Source organism: Homo sapiens, chromosome 4, assembly GCF_000001405.40.
Source record: "Homo sapiens chromosome 4, GRCh38.p14 Primary Assembly".
In the NCBI taxonomy this organism is placed as follows: domain Eukaryota; kingdom Metazoa; phylum Chordata; class Mammalia; order Primates; family Hominidae; genus Homo; species Homo sapiens.
Genome location: NC_000004.12, coordinates 110,045,630 through 110,066,687, shown reverse-complemented (window position 1 = coordinate 110,066,687; position 21,058 = coordinate 110,045,630). Strand labels below are relative to the sequence as shown.

Genomic DNA, 21,058 nt, shown 5'->3' with positions numbered 1-21,058 from the left:
ATTGACATGGAGATGCCATAATTCTTTTTTTTTTTTTTTTTTTTTTTTTTGTTGAGACAGAGTCTCTGTCGCCCAGGCTGGAGTGCAGTGGTGCAATCTCGGCTTACTGCAGGCTCCCCCTCCTGCGTTCACGTGATTCTCCTGTCTCAGCCTCCCGAGTAGCTGGGACCACAGGCGCCTGTCACCACGCCCGGCTAATTTTTTTTTGTATTTTTAGTAGAGACGGGGTTTCACCGTGTTAGCCAGGATGATCTCGATCTCCTGACCTCGTGATCCGCCCATCTCGGCCTCCCAAAGTGCTGGGATTACAGGCATGAGCCACCGTGCCTGGCCTGAGATGCCATAATTCTGCATCACAGGCACTGTAATCCTATATCATCCCCCAAATCTAGAGGCATTACAGTGGGTTTGAGATTAATTTGTTTTAACCTGTTCTGGCATCACTGGATATTCTTCCTACTCTGGAAACTGTCAGAGTCTAAGACCAACAGCAGTTCAGGTTTTGTTATCAGGAAAATCAGTGACCTCTCCTATGTTAATAAAGAGTTGCTGCTGTTGGATCACCTGTTGCTGTTTTTTGACAACTCCTTTCCCACTCCCACCCCCCTTTGATTGTAGGATAGAAGTATGATAAAACATTTTAATTGCCTAATACTGGGAAAGTAATTGTACCTTTGGTTATTGAGTTAGTAGGGTGGAGATTGGTTGGTGGTTAGCATTTCAGAATTAAAAGATCCTTGAGAAACTATGGTTTGATTCCAAAAAAACTTACATTTAAGACGAAGATCAATAAGGGAACAATGTAAAAATTTTTTTTTAAATCAACTATTGATGTTCATGTGAAAATAAAGTATTGATGATTTATACCCAAGGCTCTTTTTCCCCCCAGGGCAGAATTCTGGAATTCTTAACATTACTGAGCTATTCCATTTTGACTTACAGATGGAAATAAAAGTGGAAGGTTAAAATATAGAGTTATTCAGTCTTTTTCCAAGTAGGTAAATGGTCAGACGTCATGGTCAAAGCCTAGGAAGTTTTGTTGTTGTTGCTGTTGTTGTCGTTTTGAGAAAGGGTCTCACTCTGTCACCCAGGCTGGAGTGCAGTGGCACAATTATGGCTTATTGCAGGCTCGACATCCTGCACTCAAGCGATCCTTTCACCTCAGCCTCCCAAATAGCTGGGACTACAGGTGTGCACCACTTTGCCCAGCTAATTTTCGCATTTGTAGAAATGGGGTTTTACCATATTGCCCAGGCTGGCTTCAAACTGTTGGGCTTAAGTGAGCCACCCACTTCAGCCTTCCAAAGTGCTAGGATTACAGCCATGAGCCATTGTGCCCAGCCCAGCCCAAAGCCTGGTTTTAAAGAAGATTAGCTATATCTCTTATACATCTTTAAAAAGGACCCCAATACATACACCTACACAAGAAAAAATAAAACCTGAAAACAAGAACTTGCTTTCTAAACTTTTATTCTAAAAATTCCAACATCTGTTTATGTAAATATCCAAAGGAAACTCCCAACCATATACACATACATACCCTTCAGCTCTTCAGTGCCACTGTTTCTATTGTTTTTGTTATACATATATATTTATTTTCATGTTTGTTGTCTCCTGCAATAGGCTGTAGAAACTGCCCCCTCCCCAACCTCCCTCATGAGTACTGTAATATCTGACACTTGGTGTGTGTTAAGTACGTGTTGATTTAATACATGAAACAGTCTTTTCTCCCCGAGTGCTAATGCCAGTTTGTCATCCAAGGGCTGATTAGAGATTAGTGTTATATGTCAACGTCATGCTAGAAATTCACTAGGAAAGCCTCACAAGCTAGTACCATTGTGATTGCATCAATTGTGGCCAGGCACCTATTGAAAGTAGATTTTTAAACATTATCAATCGAGGCCAGGTGCAGTAGCTCACGTCTATAATCCCAGCACTTTGGGAGGCTGTGGCAGGAGGGTTGCTTGAGCCCAGGAGTTCAAGACCAGCCTGGGCAAGATGATGAGACCCCATTTTCATTAAAAAAAAAATTTCTAATATGTGCTTGATTAAAAATAGTTAAATAGGCACAGTGGCTCTGCCTATAATCCTAGCTACTTGGGAAGCTGAGGCAGGAGGATCACTTGAGTCCAGGAGTTCAAGGCTGTTGTGAGCTGTGATTGCGCCACTGCACTCCAGCCTGTGCAACAGAACAAGATCTTATCACTTAAAAAAAATAAAAAAGAGTCAAATAGTGCAGAAATGTACACAGTACAAAATAGAAGTTACCCTCCCCCACCCACAAAGTATTACAGTTAATTGTATAATGGATATTCTTGGCCCCCTCCTGACATCCCATGGCAAATAGCTAGTGATCAGGAAACAGGCTCCTTGTGGATTAGGAATCCAGTGCAGGAGTTTGAGAAGAAAGCACCTTAGCTAATCAGGATGGTGATCCCCACCTCCTCATCGCCTTGCTGCATTGTGTCTGATGTTGCAGAGGGAGCAGAAACGTATACTGCTCCCTCCACAGAGCTCTCTGCTATTCCACTGATTTCATTTGGCTTTGACAAAAATGATATGTATGGTATATTTCTTTTTCTTTCTTTCTTTCTTTTTTTTTTTTTTTTGAGACAGAGTTTCACTCTTGTTGCCCAGGCTGGAGTGCAATGGCGCGATCTCAGCTCACTACAACCTCCACTTCCCAGGTTCAAGCAATTCTCCTGCCTCACCCTCCCAAGTAGCTAGGATTACAGGCGTGTACCACCGTACCTGGCTAATTTTTGTATTTTTAGTAGAGATGGGGTTTCACCGTGTTGGCCAGGCTGGTCTCGAAATCCTGACCTCAGGTGATCCACCCTCCTCGGCATCCCAAAGTGCTGGGATTACAGGCATGAGCCACCGTGCCCAGCCTGTATGGTATATTTCTTTTTTTCTTTTATTTTCTTTTTTTTTTTTAAAGTATGACCATAGAGCTGGGAAAAGGCATGTGACGTAGTAATCATCTGCCTTCATTCAACACAGTGGTCCAGACCCTCAGCCTCTTTGAGGCTCTAGATTTAGAATAATCTATATCATCTGAAGGAAAGATACATTTCACTTGAAACAGAAGCTTTTCTATACCAACAGCCTCTCCTTCAAGCCCTTCTATGGAAAGTGCTCATTTCACATCCTGTCGTAAACTTGCTAGTTGTCACTTGTGGAAAGTTGGTGCATGGTTACCTTTTGTGGAGATGAGAGTCAGGATCAGGAACTGGGGGACTGAGCCCACCAGGTGTGGACTGCCTAGGCTGTCCCTCCTTGACCCCACGCTCTGGCCAACTTCGACTGCTCCAAAAGAGCAACCCCACTGCAGGAGATGTCCCTCCTTGGGGTCGCCACACCAGGAGCAGGCCTCCGGAAACCTGAGAAGTACTTCGAGAATGACAGCCATCCTCGGCTCCTAGAGACTCACTTGTCCAAGAAAAATATCTATATAAATAAAAATTCTCATAGCAATAGGAATAATGTGAACAATCAATGTGGCAAATTGAACTAGCTGTAAATCAGTTTCCTTAACTTTGAATTAGGGTTAATTAACCTTAACCTCTCTTACCTGACAAAATAAGATCAGCGAGGAAGGTGATTTTCAACATTGAGGGTTAGCCGAAGTAAATCAGCAATAATAGTAATACAAATAGTGATAGAGTAAGAAGAGTAATATAATGAAAACTGTTTCGTTGAGCACCTGTGTATCAGAGGCTTGATGCTAGCTAAATACCTTACTTATATTGCTTCAAAAAATTCATACGATGAATTTGCATGTTAGATATTATTCTCATTTCAGAGGAAAAAATACTTCAGTAACTTGGCTAATTATAAAACTGTTAGTAATAAGTGATTGGACTGTGATTGGAGCCTATTGTACAAAGGGTTCGATTTGCAACTCTAATCTATTGACAGTGGCATAGAGTGGCCGAGAACTTAAATGTGTGGTCCAGGGATGGCCAGAAAGACTGCTGAGATTGATTAGCAGCATCTGCTGTGAGCCTAAGTAAGGACTAGGGGTAGCAGAACAGCAGCATATTTGCCTGCTGCATCACGCTGCCTCTCAAGCTAATGTAACTTGGGGAGGAAGGAAAGCCTCTTCACCTTAAAGTGTATTTTGTTAAAGTGTCACGATGTGACACTGTTGTGATAAAAACCACCTGGTTCCAAAGCGTGCAGAGGATGAAATGTGCGAGGGGCAGAGCTAGTGGCTCCCCACAAATAACAATTATCCCATTGGCCCCCACAGTGCTCCCCAGCAGTAGCACTGTCACATCCCAACAATGCGCCTTTGCCCACAGACACATGGGCCCAATGGCTGGCACTGACGGTTTCCCTGAAAAGTGCTACTGTCCTCTGTTCTGAGTTAGCCTTATTGTTCAGAGCTTAGGGAATGAGGCACATGTCCAGATATGGGACAATAATATGTGCTATACACTTGCTGTCAGCAATATTATAGGTCACCATGATATCAAAACCTTCAACTCTACAGTGCTCTGAACTGACCTCCCCATACCCTAGCCCTCAAACTTGTGAATACCTATTTGCCCCTAATTCAAATACCACTTCCTCTGAAGTCTTCTAGGACTACCACTCACTAGCCAGAGTTAGCTTAATGATTTTTTTTCACTCCATCATCTAAAACCATGCCAATAAATATTTGACCACTGAAAGAATAAATGAACTTGTGTGAATACCTTAGAAATTGGGAATAAATTACAATGATTTTTTGAGACCCAAAAGGATGAAAGGATAGCAACCATTTCAAGCATACATTCTTTGGATCTACTCTGATCATGTGGGAATTACATAGTCTAACAGCAAGTAGAGTAAGAGGAAGGGTTTTGGGCTATACCCCAGCACTTTGGGAGGCCGAGGCAGGTGGATCACGAGGTCAGGAGTTTGAGACCGGCCTGGCCAACATAGTGAAACCCCATCTCTACTAAAAACACAAAAAATTAGCCTGGCATGGTGGTGCATGCCTGTAGTCCCAGCTACTTGGGAGGCTGAGGAAGGAGAGTCACTTGAACCCAGGAGGCGGAGGTTGCAGTGAGCTGAGATCATGCCACTGTACTCCAGCCTGGCTGAGAGAGCGAGATTCTGTCTCAAAAAAAAAAAAAAAAAAAAAAAAAGCCATCATTTGGTGAGGGAAAGACAGTACACAAAAAAAATTCAGATAAGACAGAAAAATCTCTATTACTTGATGCTACTAATGAAATCAACCCTTCATCCCCAAATTAGGACAGATAATGGACTATAAAGACTTAGGTCATTCCACGGGGAGGAGACATTTCCTTAAGATAAGAAAGTAAAAAGCCAGTTTTGTTATGAACAGGGGAGAAATGCAAAGGTCCTGAGGCAGAAAACTGAAAGTGTCTGAAAGTTCTGGAGTGATTGGCTCACAGTGAACAAGAAGAGAATGGCAGGAGGTGAGAGTGGAGAATGGGGAGAGAGAGGCAGTGCAGAGAGGCCTTGTCGGTCCTGATAAAGGAGTTGAGGTTTTTATTCCAAGTGCAGAGAAAAACCACTGAAGGATTAAACAGGATCTATATCTGTAAAATGACAGTAATCCTCTGCAGGACAATTTCATACAGTGGAAAGAGTAACACCATTTGATGGAGTCTTTATACCTTTAGAGAAGCTACTTACAAAGACCCAACTTAATAGACAATTGCCAGGAATTAAACTTCATTATTTTGATACTGTAGAAAGTTGACCTTTAGTTCTAGTTGGCAGATGCGTGCTTTCTGGACAGGTTAGCCTAGTGGAATGATTTATTCTAGAGCAACTCTAAGATATTTTAAGTAAAAAACAGTGCCTCTGAGGAGAAAAGAAGGCTCCATTTCCCAATTCAACAGTTGTTCATTCATTGATCTCTCAGCTGACTTCTAGAGTAAGATGCTGCCCTTTTGGGCAGAAAAGGCTAGGCAGGTCCATCTTCCCCACATGGTCAGCCAGCTCTCCTTTCAGTCCCGGGCATGGTTCACACACTCTGGGACATACACTTAAGGGGCTCACTTCGTAATAGTGGCTGCTTGTTCCTATTGCCAAGTGCTTTCCCATGGCAGGTTGTGTTTCTTGAGCCTAATGTGTTCCAGAACTTCCTATTTCCTTACCAGTTCTCTGATTTAAAGAAATTGTTTATTTTTTCTTCACTTTTTCAACAATCTCACTTTTTCAACAGTCTTTATTGAGCACCTGTGCCTATGTGGAGATTAAACACATTGCGGGGCATTGAAGAACAGTGTTGGGGTGGTATTAGCACAACACTGGTTCTAGGGAGCTCAGGGAGTGAGCACTTATCTCTGCCTGAGTGGGCTTCCTGGAGGAGGTGACAGAGCTAAGCTTTTGAAGGAGTCTCATTCTGACATCTCTGAGAAAGATGGATCAGACAGTAGAAAGTGATTTGGAGACTGCTGGAGAAATCCAAGGAGGGCACAAAAAGCCTGGGCTGGCAAGGCGAGTCCAGAGGTAGAGGAAAAGTTTGCCTAAAGAGGTAAACAGGTTTTCAGGAAATAGAGCCAGTAGAACTTGGAGAATGATTGGGCACAGGGCAAATTTGAGATAATTCCAAGAGTTTGCAGCCACACCCATCTGCTCTCCAAGGAATAGTTCCCAAGCTGAAACTCAAAGGTCACCAGCATTCTTCATGAGATCCTGCTCTGAATCTGTTACCCTTTTTCATGACCTCTTTTTGGAACAGTGATGAAGAGGAAGTGGTATCATATATGGTTTCAGAATAAAGCCCTTGAGTCATTGTATTAGCTCTTGTTTACAGAACATTTTAAGATGCTTTCAAGGAAATACAAATAATATGATTCTTATGCCTATTTCCTGCCAGTGGCCAACCAGTCTTCTAAGTATGGTTGATGTGAGAAGTGAAACTATTTTCCTAAATGCTGTTTCTTTTCTCTTTTCATTATGAAGTATATTCGGTGCTCTTCGAACTGGTGCTTATATGGTGTACATTTTGATGACCAAAGGCCTGAAGCAGTCAGTTTGTGACCAGGGTTTTTACAATGGACCTGTCAGCAAATTCTGGGCTTATGCATTTGTGCTAAGCAAAGCACCCGAACTAGGTGAGTATCTTCTTCCATTTCCTCTCCCTCTCTTTGTAGCAACATATCCACAGTATTTATTTAGTGAGCAAAGAAACATTTTGAAGGTCCTATTTTGTTGGTTGCAAGAAAGTTACAATGAATGAATTTGAGTTCTTGCCTGACTTCTACTTTTTATTGTTCGCTCCCTCTTTCCTTTTAAATAATTTTACATTGTGCATATTAAGAGTAGATAGTTTATACTGAACATGCTGATTTTCGAGCTCTACTAAAAATATACCTCCACGGACTTATAAAATGTACAGAGACCCCTTTAAAAGGCCCACTGAGCTGAGCTAATATTAAAACATGGGGGAAGAAAAGAGCAACACAGCTATTTCCAAGTCCCATATCTGAGCATACTTTCATCTGTAGAGTTAGGATTCAGATTAGGAATTAAGCTTTTCATTTGGGGACCCTCCTGTTCTCATTAACAAATGCTGAGGGTTGGTCTCTGGTGGTGTTTGATTTTAATCATCAAGACTGGCCTTAGGGAAGGGGAATGTAATTTACCTTCCAGAAAGTAATAGAAAATACAGGCTGTATTTGTAGATTTCTATAATTTTTCCCTCAACCCTTGAATGGTCTTGAATGTAAGTGTGGCACAGGTTACCAGAAATAGTAAAGTCAAGGAGTTAATGTGGGCACAGTTTTCCAGGAAGATGTCTTTATTTACACAGAAAGAGATCTAGTGGTGACAATAAGCTCTGAGTACATCCATGAGTAATGCTAGCAAACTGGTACAGATTGTACAGGTACAAACTGGTAAGGCAAACCTGGTCACCTCTGGGGTTCTGGGTTTTTTTTCACCTGCAATTAAGAATTATACATATTTAGTTCAAAAGATATCAATTGCAATTTTTGCCATTGTTTTCAATGGCAAAACCGCAGTTAACTTTTGCACCAACCTAATATGTATTGTCCCCTCTCCTGTTTCTCCTAAAAAGGGAGTTTGGTGTTGTACTTTCCTTACAAACCACCTGCAATATAAGCTATGAGCAGTCTTCTGTAAGGTGCCCCTTGTTCACGCCCCGTGTCCATTCAGATAGAATGGGAACTGTCTGATTTGTGTGGGCCGGCAACCCAGCCACCTTCCACTGGAAGCCAGAAACCTGCTGTTTATAAGTAGATGACAATTGGTTTGAGCTACTGTCTTCCCAGGTCAAAAACAAGGGAAGAACAACAGAAGAAAATTTTTCCTGAAAACCTTTCCTAAGAGGGGCAGAGGTACAAAGATAGTCCAAAATAACTAGATAACTACCGCGTGCATGTGCATGCCTGCACCGCTCCCCCCCTCCAACAGACACACAAACGCCTACACACACGGATCATATGAAAACGGTCTCAGGGTAAAATGCATTAGTGTGGATTCATTCATTCATTCATTCAGTGCATTTATGTTAAGCACTGGCTGAAATAGAATGGCAACTTTATCTAAAAGGAATTTTACAATACAGATTTTATGAACCAGGCCCCAGGAGGTATTGGTACCACTAGGTATGAAGTCATAGGCTAGAGAAGTGGTTTTCACCCTGGATTTACAGACAATGCCTGCAAAATCTGAAGAGGTATTTCTGGGAATTTTAAAATTATATGAGAATATTTTAATTTGCTTTGATTCATAGAGTTTCTGAATCAGAGCACTTGTTCTCAAACTGGGGTTGATCTGAGAGTGTGAGCATGTATTCTTTACTCTTGGGGTTTTGTGATTTTTTTTTTTTTTTTTTTTTCCCTGAGACAGAGTCTTACTCTGTTGCCGAGGCTGGAGTGCAGTGGCGCGATCTCGGCTCACTGCAACCTCCGTGTCCCGGGTTCAAACAATTCTCGTGCCTCAGCCTTCCGAGTAGCTGGGATTACAGGTGTGTGCCACTACACCCGGCTAATTTTTGTATTTTTAGTAGAGACGGGGTTTCACCATGTTGGCCAGGCTGGACTTGAACTCCTGACCTCAGGTAATCAGCCCGCCTCGGCCTCCCAAAGTGCTAGTATTATAGGCATGAGCCACTGTGCCCGGCTGTGGCTTTTTTTCTTTAAAATAAAATTACACGTTATTAAAGTCTGAATTATTTTAGTTGAGAAATATATCCCTCTTTTATGCTATTTAATAACCTTATTAATCCCCTATCTTTTTTGACAAAGGCCTGACTACAACTACATAAATGTAGTAAATGCATGAAACGTGATTTCCCCTGAATGCTACCCCTGAACACTTCAACAGTTTCTACCTTTTACTACTTCCCCCTCAATTTTTTTTTTAATAAGAAATAATCATGCCAGTAGGATGCAAGTAGGAGACTAGACTATGGCTGGAGACTGGACTTCCGACCTTTAAGCCTCAGATCACAAAAAAGCAGCCTCAGTGTTTTCTTCTAGAAACGCCTTTTCCCTGCAAGGACTAATTGTGTTGTGTTCTGAGTTATATACAGCTGTATTTGAGGTACTTGAGAACAAACATAGTCCTTTCTACCTTTTGGAGGAATAATTTATTGAAATGCCACCTCAAGCTATCTGTAGTGATTAATTTCCTTTAAAGACATAATCAGACCTATGCTCTCTGTCCTCCTGACTTTTAGGATTCCTAGAGAAGACCTATTAGTGTAGCACCCAGAGGTATTCATATTTTCATCTTCTATCTTGGTTGTGTTGATGCTGATGATGTTAATATCACCTGTCTTAATTTAATCCAGGCCCAAATGTCCATTCCCCTCAGCCTCATAGCGGACATTGTAATTGAATACAGTGTTCCCTCTTGAGCCCCAAAGGAGCCATAATCCAGTCTCCTATTTGCAGTCAACAGGAGTGGTGTGCTGCTGGCATGATAATCCCTTTCCCTGGAAAGGGCTCATTCATCACAATAATTTGTAGTAGTCCTTTGTGGATTATCCAATAATCGATGCAGTTAAAATATGAGATTGAAGTGTTGGAAAAAATAATATTCTAATCTTGACATAGTTCTTTAATGAGGCTAATTAGTAACACAAATTCTTCATACAGTTTCAAACCCTTTATAGAGATAATTTTCATGTTCTGAATACTTTTTTTTTTTAACATTTTAAAATATGGGATATTGTTCTTCAAATACTCTGGAGCTCCTCTGACAATGGCCATTCAGAGGTAAACCGCTGACTCAAAACAGGTCCAAAATCAGTGCAAGTGTCTCCAAGACAAGCAGATCTAGGTCTTTATGTAGTCAACATGTTTGCCTGGATGACTTTTTTTTCCCATGCATTTTGGAGGTTAAATTTCTTTCCAGTTTTTGCAGTTGGAAAATCTTGTCGCTACTATTTAATTAAGAGAGATTTACCCGTTTGGATTATTTAGAACTTTTCTTATTTTTAGGTCTCAAATTTTACCTTTCAATATTCTAAGATTCTGGACTCTTTATGAGCACCAAAAGGAAAAGATCTAGTGAGAAAAAAACAGTTCTTCCATGTATAGTACTGAAACTGTATCCCCCCCCCCAGCTCCCACAAACTCAAACTCTTGTTTTAAATTGCAGTAAAATATACATATTATTCAGATTGTTGAGCAACCATTACTCCATCAACTTCCAGAACTTTTGCATCTTCTCCAACTGAAATGCTACTCATTCCACACTAACTCCCCCTTCACTAAACTCTTAATAAATAGCAAGAAGACCTTTCTGTTTCAGCAGAAAACCGTGAGCTCATTTCAGTGAATTATGGGGTTGTAGGCCACTAGAACAAGTGAGAGGAAAAGAGCCACTAACCTGCTTTGTGTGCCAAATCTCTGAGCACCTACTATTTGGATTATATTAAAACCCGCTGAGATTTTGTTTTGTTAAAACTTGGAAATATCTGCTCTGAGCCCAGGTCCTTGCTCAGTTGAGCATGTCATTGTTTTTGAAGCTCTGACTCAGCAGCACTCTAGCTAGCTCTGGGAAGAGGGACTCAGCTGTATGTGACAAACCACACACACAGAGTAGCCTCTCTGTGTCTCTTGGTGGCCAAGAACACCCTGGGGATTTCCAAATGCTTGTTGCTTTTCCTGCAGCTGCAAAGGTGTAGTTAAGAAGGGACACTTGGGTATAAGGAACAACATGCCCTGCCTGAAAGCTGTCTCTTGAATGAAAATAGTTGGACCAAAGGTTAGAGAAATCATGATACAGAGAACATGAGCCAGGAGGTAGCTAAAATGACAGGACTGAAACGTTCGAGAGTCTAAAGTCCCATTGCTTGTACTTGGCCAATGTCCTTCCCGTTATGCCAACAGGACATTTGAACAAGAAAGATTGACTGACCAACTCAAATACACAGTCCCTCTGATAGTTAACATTTCTGGGTCACTCTATAGCTTCTGGAAAGCCTGAAATTACCATGACTTGGCATGACTCTGGCTCATGACAAATTAAATGTGACATTATGTGGTTTCCCCAGAGGAAAAATAATTTGTACCTGCCAGAGTGGCCTGACTGATGCATCTCAGCTGCCATATCCAAGACCGTGAGAGGACTTGGTTAGCTCTTCTAGAGCCCCACCAGTTTCCCCCTGCCTGAGGGAAACTACCACTCTTTGGGTCAGCAGTCTGGGGGATAGTAACCCTGATAGGGTGTTGAATGGTGCTACTGATCAGCTCCAGAGCCATTGCTGGGAGATGATCAATTTCATTCCCGCACCCACCATCGTGCATATGTGTTCTGGAAAAAACTCCTAAGCAAATTTAAATTAATTTTGTTCTTGAGATTTCGGGACATGTTTTCCCCTCCTCCTACCCTCCACTCCACTCCCCTCCCTAAAGTAACTAGAAACACCCAGTGTATCTCAGTTAAACCTGAGATATACCCTCACCTCCAGACAGGAGAAACACAAAGCCATTCTTAACTCCAGAATTGTACCTTCCACTTTCCATCCCACACTAGCCCATTCTAATATGGTTTTTCTTAATCATTCTTTAGACAATAAAATTTTAATATAAAAGTGATGATAGGGTTAAACTAAAGAGTTAGGATGAAATGCATATTACTTTGACAAATTTATTATAATGTGTTTGGAATTGTATAGGGGTTTATATTTTAGTTAATGCTAAGAGACTCATGAAAGCATCTATTCAATTATGAATGACTAAACTTGTTTTAAACATACAGTATCTTGGACATCTACCTTCTTTACACTATGAACCAAGGTAGCTGGAATTGATTGTGTCTGCGTTATTGTCCACAGAGGGATTGGAGGAACAGAGTAGTACTTATACAGAAACGGTGGATCTCTGACAGATACAAAAATAGCACAGTTTAACACTGAAAAGTAGATCCCGGGTCTCCTGACACCAGTTTTGTCCCTTAAGTATATGTATGAGGGTTACCATCATCATCCATCATTATCAGTCTGCCTGACACTTATAGACACCATAAAAATCTGGCATCTTGCAAGAGAGAAGATGACTTCAACAAAAATTTGACAGTAGGTTCAGAAATATAACAACTGACAACTTTCCTATTTATTTAATTAATTTATTTATTTTTTGAGATGGAGTCTTGCCCTGTTGCCCAGGCCTAGAGTGCAATGGCATGATCTTGGCTCACTGCAACCTCCGCCTCCCCAGGTTCAAGTGATTCTCCTGCCTCAGCCTCCTGAGTAGCTGGGATTACAGGTGCCTGCCACAATGCCCAGCTAATTTTTTTTTTTTGAGATGGAGTCTCACTCTGTCGCCCAGGCTGGAGTATAGTGGCACAATCTCGGCTCACTGCAAACTCCACCTCCCGGGTTCATGCCATTCTCCTGCCTCAGCCTCCAGAGTAGCTGGGACCACAGGCACCCACCACCACACCTGGATATTTTTTTAATTTTATAGTAGAGATGGGGTTTCACCGTGTTAGCCAGGATGGTCTTGATCTCCTGACCTTGTGATCTGCCCACCTCGGGCTCCCAAAGTGCTGGAATTACAGGTGTGAGCCACCGTGCCAGCCTAATTTTTGTATTTTTAGTAGAGATGGGGTTTCGCCATGTTGGCCAGGCTGGTCTCGAACTCCTGACCTCAGGTGATCCCCCCGCCTTGGCCTCCCAAAGTGCTGGGATGACAGGTGTGAGTCACCACACCCGGCCAACTTTCTTTTTCTATTGTAAACAAATATGAAATAATAGTGTTTAACAGTTTAGTAGGAAAATAAACCAATAGCTCTCCTAATGCATGGAATGGGGCACCACCTGTATCTTTCCAGCCACTGCCATTAGAACCTTAGAAGTCTTTCCCCATAGTCCAGCATTCTTTGACCTTGCTGAGTGCAAGCGTTTTAGGCCATCTGTGAAGTACATGAGGGATAAGGTAGGAATAAGTACTAGTTTTTCTTTGTTTTGTTTTGTTTTGTTGCGCTTAATTAAATTTCAGAAGAAGAAGAAGAACCAGGGCCGGGTTCTCAGGGCGGTGGCTCACGCCTATAGTCCCAGCACTTTAGGAGGCCGAGGCTGGTGGATAGCTTGAGCTCAGGAGTTCAAGACCTCATCTCTACTAAAAAAGTTTTTTTAAATTAGCTGGGCATGGTGGCACATGCCTGCAGTCTCAGCTATTCCTTAGGCTGCAGTGGGAGGATCACTTGAGCCCAGGAGATCAAGTTTTCAGTGAGCTGCGATGGCACGTAGGTGACAGGGCAAGACCCTGTCTCAAAAACAAACAAAAAATTAAAAGAACCTTCTAGCTTTTGTTTTTTACACAAAAAGAAGCCAGGTTTGAGTTCACCAAAGGTCATGAAGGATGTCGATTTTTCCCATGTCTCATAACCATAGAGATAGGAAGGAGAAAGACGCATTCACCTGCATTAGCCTGTTTCTGTCACACATCCTAGCGTAACTTCCCTTATTTTCTTACTCGCTAATGTAATTGGGTATATTTTTCACTGGGCTTGCTCTTCATCCAATTTTACATAAATGTTCTACAGTCTATTTTCAGAGCCCTGAAACTTTTCAGTGAAGCATTGCAGATACATAGCATCTACCCACCTCAGCATAATTCTAGCTTTCATAATATAAATTCCCTGCCTCAGAAGCTATGGTCTTTTCCTTCAAAGGGATATTGTTAGACAAAATTTTGATAGATCCTGGAAATCTTTTCAGTTAATTCTGTAAAATGAAAACTGTTATTTTCAATTGCTCCTCACTTGATTCACTGGTATAAAATATTCCTATTACCCTTGTCAGCAAATGTGTATAGAAGAGGATTTTTGTCCCCCTTTTTCTGTCTTTTGTTTAGGTTTTACTTTTCTCACTGCCATTTGGCAAGGCTGTGTAATTTAGGGAGCTCACAAAGATATATGTTTGAGGGGTACCTTTTATCATGTACCAAAGAAAAATTATGGTTTTACTACTCTAGAGAAGCCTTAGAACATTTTGCTGGGCACTTGACTTCCAGTCTGTTTCCTTTGATTGATAAATGATCTAAGACAAGTCACCAGTCCCCTCCAGGTGGTATTTCCTAAAATGTATAGTTGAGTTGGGAGTTGGCAACATAGTTGTTAATGTCCCTTCCAGATCAATGATGGATAAGATTTTGTGTGAAATACCTTGAAAGAAACATTTGCTGCTTGCCTCCTGTGTGTGAAGAGAGCCATGCTGATTATCCTACTTAATCCTCAGGTGATTCCATGCTACTCTTTTAAATTATCACCATTTATATAGATGAGGAAACTAGAAATAGTGAGGATAACTAACTTGTCCAGGGTCACAGAGCTAGTAAGTACCAGTTCAGGGTTCTAATCCAGTCTATGTAACTCTCCAGTCCTAGCTCAGGATGTCTACCCTCTTACAAAACTGTAAGTCATCGTTACTGGTGGTCAAGGATCTCACGTACCTTCTTCCTCTTTGTCTTCCAGGAGATACAATATTCATTATTCTGAGGAAGCAGAAGCTGATCTTCCTGCACTGGTATCACCACATCACTGTGCTCCTGTACTCTTGGTACTCCTACAAAGACATGGTTGCCGGGGGAGGTTGGTTCATGACTATGAACTATGGCGTGCACGCCGTGATGTACTCTTACTATGCCTTGCGGGCGGCAGGTTTCCGAGTCTCCCGGAAGTTTGCCATGTTCATCACCTTGTCCCAGATCACTCAGATGCTGATGGGCTGTGTGGTTAACTACCTGGTCTTCTGCTGGATGCAGCATGACCAGTGTCACTCTCACTTTCAGAACATCTTCTGGTCCTCACTCATGTACCTCAGCTACCTTGTGCTCTTCTGCCATTTCTTCTTTGAGGCCTACATCGGCAAAATGAGGAAAACAACGAAAGCTGAATAGTGTTGGAACTGAGGAGGAAGCCATAGCTCAGGGTCATCAAGAAAAATAATAGACAAAAGAAAATGGCACAAGGAATCACACGTGGTGCAGCTAAAACAAAACAAAACATGAGCAAACACAAAACCCAAGGCAGCTTAGGGATAATTAGGTTGATTTAACCCAGTAAGTTTATGATCCTTTTAGGGTGAGGACTCACTGAGTGCACCTCCATCTCCAAGCACTGCTGCTGGAAGACCCCATTCCCTCTTTATCTATCAACTCTAGGACAAGGGAGAACAAAAGCAAGCCAGAAGCAGAGGAGACTAATCAAAGGCAAACAAAGGCTATTAACACATAGGAAAAAATGTATTTACTAAGTGTCACATTTCTCTAAGATGAAAGATTTTTACTCTAGAAACTGTGCGAGCACAACACACACAATCCTTTCTAACTTTATGGACACTAAACTGGAGCCAATAGAAAAGACAAAAATGAAAGAGACACAGGGTGTATATCTAGAACGATAATGCTTTTGCAGAAACTAAAGCCTTTTTAAGAAATGCCAGCTGCTGTAGACCCCATGAGAAAAGATGTCTTAATCATCCTTATGAAAACAGATGTAAACAACTATATTTCAACTAACTTCATCTTCACTGCATAGCCTCAGGCTAGTGAGTTTGCCAAAACCAAAGGGGGTGAATACTTCCCCAAGATTCTTCCTGGGAGGATGGAAACAGTGCAGCCCAGGTCCCATGGGGGCAGCTCCATCCCAGAGCATTTCTGATAGTTGAACTGTAATTTCTACTCTTAAGTGAGATATGAAGCATTATCCTTTTGTTCAGTTGCCCCGGGCTTTTGAACAGAAGAGTAAATACAGAATTGAAAAAGATAAACACTCAACCAAACAATGTGAAAACGGGTTCTGTAGTATTTGTAAAAAGGCCCGGCCCAGGACCACTGTGAGCTGGAAAAGGGAGAAAGGCAGTGGGAAAAGAGGTGAGCCGAAGATCAATTCGACAGACAGATGGTGTGTATGCCCCTCCCTGTTTGACTTCACACACACTCATAACTTTCCAAATGAAACCCCACAGTATAGCGCATATTTTCGATATTTTTGTGAATTCCAAAAGGAAATCACAGGGCTGTTCGAAATATTGGGGGAACACTGTGTTTCTGCATCATCTGCATTTGCTCCCCAAGCAATGTAGAGGTGTTTAAAGGGCCCTCTGCTGGCTGAGTGGCAATACTACAACAAACTTCAAGGCAAGTTTGGCTGAAAACAGTTGACAACAAAGGGCCCCCATACACTTATCCCTCAAATTTTAAGTGATATGAAATACTTGTCATGTCTTTGGCCAAATCAGAAGATATTCATCCTGCTTCAAGTCAGCTTCAGAAATGTTTTAAAAGGGACTTTAGCTCTGGAACTCAAAATCAATTTATTAAGAGCCATATTCTTTAAAAAAAAAAAGCTGGATAATATTCTCTGTAATATTTCAGTCCTTTACAAGCCAAATACATGTGTCAATGTTTCTAGTATTTCAAAGAAGCAATTATGTAAAGTTGTTCAATGTGACATAATAGTATTATAATTGGTTAAGTAGCTTAATGATTAGGCAAACTAGATGAAAAGATTAGGGGCTTCCACACTGCATAGATTACACGCACATAGCCACGCATACACACACAGACACACAGATGTGGGGTACACTGAACTTCAAAGCCCAAATGAATAGAAACACATTTTCTGGCTAGCAGAAAAAAACAAAACAAAACTGTTGTTTCTCTTTCTTGCTTTGAGAGTGTACAGTAAAAGGGATTTTTTCGAATTATTTTTATATTATTTTAGCTTTAATTGTGCTGTCGTTCATGAAACAGAGCTGCTCTGCTTTTCTGTCAGAGATGGCAAGGGCTTTTTCAGCATCTCGTTTATGTGTGGAATTTAAAAAGAATAAAGTTTTATTCCATTCTGTGTGAATGGTTTGAGCAGTGAACAAAGAATCCATGCAAACCAAGTCATGACTGGAAGAAATGGGGAGTGGGGGACAGTGCAGGGGAGGAAAGCTGTTACATCTATGTTAAATGATTGTGAGCAGTCTATAATGTCTTGATGTTGGTTCATAGGTGAGACACAACTGATGGAGGAATGTATTATAAATTATGCAAAATCTGACATGAGCTGAAAAGACAGGTCCTTTTATAAGAGCTAATAGATGCTTAGGATGCAAATGTTATTTTGAGCTTCGCAAATACATGATACCGTGCAATAAGCCTTTTTTCCTTATAACAGAAAATGAGAATAATTAAAATGAGGAGAAGGCCACATAACAGTTGACTTGAATTTAATTGAAGGACCCATTGGAGGCTCATCTGGTTGATTTAATTATTTAATTGAGTGATTTATTGCAGATCTCTTAATGCAGGTTAGAAACGGAAGTGAGCATAAACCTTAAAAAGACTCTAAATGATGCTTCCAAAGCACTTTCATTTTGGTATTAGGTTCATGTTTGTTTGTCTTTACTTGTAAAATAATTTGGAATTTTTGTTTACAGGGTGAATGTCTTAATAGTTTTAAAATTAGCTAAATATATCTAAAGGCATTTCCAATGTTTATCATGGGAGGAAAAAAGCCACATTTTTTTTAAAACAAAACAAAACAAAACAAAATTTTGGTAATATAGGTTCAATACACTGTTTTTAACATCTCAGCTTAGCCGCTTTAATCATATCAAGATATGAGGCTGGATCACTGGCCCATGACAAATCTGAAACCTACCAGAGAATTGACTGCTGCATAGATAATCCTGCTGCCAGTTAACATTCCAGAAAAACTTGGGCAGGCAAGTTTTTATAGCTGCCCCACTATGCTGCAATAGAGTATCTTTCTATTGAAGATTTTCCACTGCATCCCGATCCTACTATGGTGAAAGCATTGTTCTTGGGCTAAAAAAAAATCCTTTATTTCATACACACATGATTTCATACACTAGGTCTGAGCATCAAGCCAAGTCCATGAGTTTGCAATGAAGTTCTAGTGAGAAATGCTCTATTCATAAAGCAGGGGGTTTACGTGGACCTTCTAGTGTTGCTTATGGGAAAAGAGTAACTACCATATTACATCTAACGCAAGGCCAAAGTACCAAATTAAAACCATGGATTGAGGTGGTTATTCGAAGTCACTTACTCCCATCCTTCTAATTATGCTCCACTACAAAAGTAAGGGGAGAAGAGGGAATACTTTACATGTACATTGCTAGAGGGAAAAGAAAGGCTTGATTATATCCCCTCGCTTCTCCACCTCTCTGCTCATGTAAAGAAACTGATGAGAAAAGAGACTAATATGTCTAGACTGAGTTAGAAACTTCATATGAGTGGGTTTTGTAGAATTGATGGGAAAGACAGTGGGAACCTAGAAGAACAGAAAGAGACCCACAGAATGTCTTTCTTTTTTTTTTTTTTTTTTTTTTTGAGGTGGATTCTTGCTGTTGTTGCCCAGGCTGGAGTGCAGTGGCGCGATCTAGACTCACTGCAACCTCCGCCTCCCAGGTTCCAGCAATTCTCCTGCCTCAGCCTCCCAAATAGCTGAGGTTACAGGCGCCCGCCACCACACCCAGCTAATTTTTGTATTTTTAGTAGAGACAGGGTTTCACCATGTTGGCCAGGCTGGTCTCGAGCTCCTGACCTCAGGGGATCCACCCGCCTTGGTCTCCCAAAGTGCTGGGATTATAGGCGTGAGCCACCGTGCCTGGCCCAGAATGTTTTTTTAAATCAGATGTAGCATCTTCATAAGGTAAAGCCTGTCACATCAGAGTAACAAAGCTCCTGGAGTACAGTGATGCTAGAGTAGAATGTTCCAGAAGTCTGGCCATAGCCCCAGCTTCTGAATTACCTGGGAGAGACAAGATGCTCAGGTTACTATTTTTTCTTTATTCTGATAGTACAGCCTCTACTCAGAGACCACGGTGTGTGTCACACAACCGAGGCAGCTAGGGCATATTCTGAGGGCTTTTTTTTTTTTTTGGTTTCCTTAATGATTCTTTAACAGAGTAACTGGATTGGCCAAGGTCTGATTCAAGAGGCTGTGAGGAGAGTAGAGAACAAATAGACTTTGCCTCTCAGAGTTCAGAGCTTTAAGTTGTATAAGCATGGTCCATGTCCACCTCTTGTAGACACTTATTCCTTAAAAGTTTCCATCATGAAAAATAATATCATGTCAAAATTTTATAAGCACCCAGAATGTCCCAGTAGTCAAATGTAGTGTCTTTCTCCAGTCTCTGTTTTCGATAATAAATACCTTGCTCTCAATTTAGGATGATCGTAAAGCCTATGTTCATGCTGTGAGTCATTGTCTCCCACAGCTTTTGAAACATCGTTCTTTGTCTTTTCTATACAACACCTGATTCTTTGTGCCTCAGACTCATTGCTATCAGGAAGAGACTTTGCCAAGATCCACCACCACATTTGGCCAGTAGTGTATACACATTAAAGTGAGAGCTGATGAAATCACAATGCTCTATTTTGTTCCGACAATCAGTATGAAGGGGTAGGTCCCAGTTTGCCAATGAGCAACAGCCTCTGTATGCTGGTGTCCAAGACTTACACAAAACAAGTGTCAGTGCAGTCACAGCATTTTCTTGAATGCTGTTGTGACAGACTCCAGTTATAAACATCTGCGAGCCATATGGCACAACTCATAGCTAAAGAGGCCGGTACAGGGCACATGCACAGAGCTTTGAAGAACATACACAAACCTGTTGAATCAAGTTACTTTCCTCATCCTCAGAGACTTTGACAATTCAGAGCTCACAGATGGCAGGGGGAATTCTCAGGCTTCCCTTCCTCCTGATTGACACTTTTTAAAGGAAGTGATGTGGAAGTTGTTCTAGAAGTTAGATGGACAGTGGGAGCACATTCGTGAGTGGGGCTTGGGAGAGCTCAAAAGTGGCACTTTGATTTTAGGCTGGGCAGGCAGAAGTCTCACAGTAAAATATATTTCACTAGACGTCCAAACCAACACTGCATTGTAGTAACCTCTTCTGAAGTAACTGGTTAAATTAATAACTGGTCCCATAAGTCAGGGTCAAGCCACATTTATAACCCATTCGGGCCGGCCATGAAGGGTTCTGACTCGACATTGGTATTTAAATGCTGTTACTTTCCCAATGCTTAGTAGCACTTGAGACTTTATTTCCATCGACAAAAACTAAGAAGGCCACAGAAGTAGCCTAACAGTCCTCCCTGGTCATACTCGTTTCAAACAGGTCTGCCTGTCTAGACATATTCAGGCAGGAGGTTGCTTGCTGCTATCTTGAAAACCACTGGAAGATTCAGCTTCTTGGGGACCTCAGAGCCCATATTCATATGGAAGCCCACCCATATAAGCCTCACAGAGCAAATCACAGCAATGTTGAAGTTGTTATTTTCAAGTGCTTATTTCACGACATTAAAAAAAATATTTTTTCCTGGTGTATTAAAATTAAAAATAAAATCATAACTTTTGATTTAAAATCAAACTGTGTTTCTGTTTTCTCTTACTCTGGGCAATTTAAATGGGACATCTAGGACACTGAGGGTTCCTCAAATACTCAGAAATGCCATTTCCACACTTGACACCCATAGGCTTGGGGCACAGAGATGAGTCACTAAAACTCCTCGCTTTCTAGTAGAGCCCAAAGATGCTGTAGCCCTCAACTACTACTGACTAAATGTCCATAAGATGTCCAGCCCTT

At 41.3% G+C, this 21,058-nt stretch overlaps 1 protein-coding gene across 4 annotated transcripts in view, besides 3 other annotated features; it reads left to right on the top strand.

Annotated features, from left to right (window-relative positions):
- Positions 1-20,842, top strand: part of ELOVL6 (ELOVL fatty acid elongase 6) — a 153,357-nt gene extending 132,515 nt beyond the window's left edge. For all 4 annotated transcript variants that reach the window (XM_011532233.4, XM_011532234.4, NM_001130721.2 and 1 more), the window contains 2 exons: positions 6,934-7,085; positions 14,926-20,842. In XM_011532233.4, coding sequence (XP_011530535.1) covers positions 6,934-7,085; positions 14,926-15,350 — 577 coding nt within the window. In that variant the 3' untranslated portion in view covers positions 15,351-20,842. The remainder of the gene's footprint in view (positions 1-6,933; positions 7,086-14,925) is intronic.
- Positions 10,817-10,876: an enhancer, noted in NCBI's record as "active region_21815". NCBI's record gives its function as "activates an Ori minimal core promoter by ATAC-STARR-seq in GM12878 lymphoblastoid cells {active_cell/tissue: GM12878}" and the evidence as "EXISTENCE:reporter gene assay evidence [ECO:0000049][PMID:35858748]".
- Positions 11,287-11,336: an enhancer, noted in NCBI's record as "active region_21814". NCBI's record gives its function as "activates an Ori minimal core promoter by ATAC-STARR-seq in GM12878 lymphoblastoid cells {active_cell/tissue: GM12878}" and the evidence as "EXISTENCE:reporter gene assay evidence [ECO:0000049][PMID:35858748]".
- Positions 14,499-15,698: an enhancer, noted in NCBI's record as "BRD4-independent group 4 enhancer chr4:110972146-110973345 (GRCh37/hg19 assembly coordinates)". NCBI's record gives its function as "activates an origin of replication core promoter dependent on BRD2, P300/CBP, MED14 and CDK7 cofactors, and independent of BRD4, by STARR-seq in HCT116 cells {active_cell/tissue: HCT116}" and the evidence as "EXISTENCE:reporter gene assay evidence [ECO:0000049][PMID:35650434]".
- Positions 20,843-21,058: the final 216 nt, after the last annotated feature.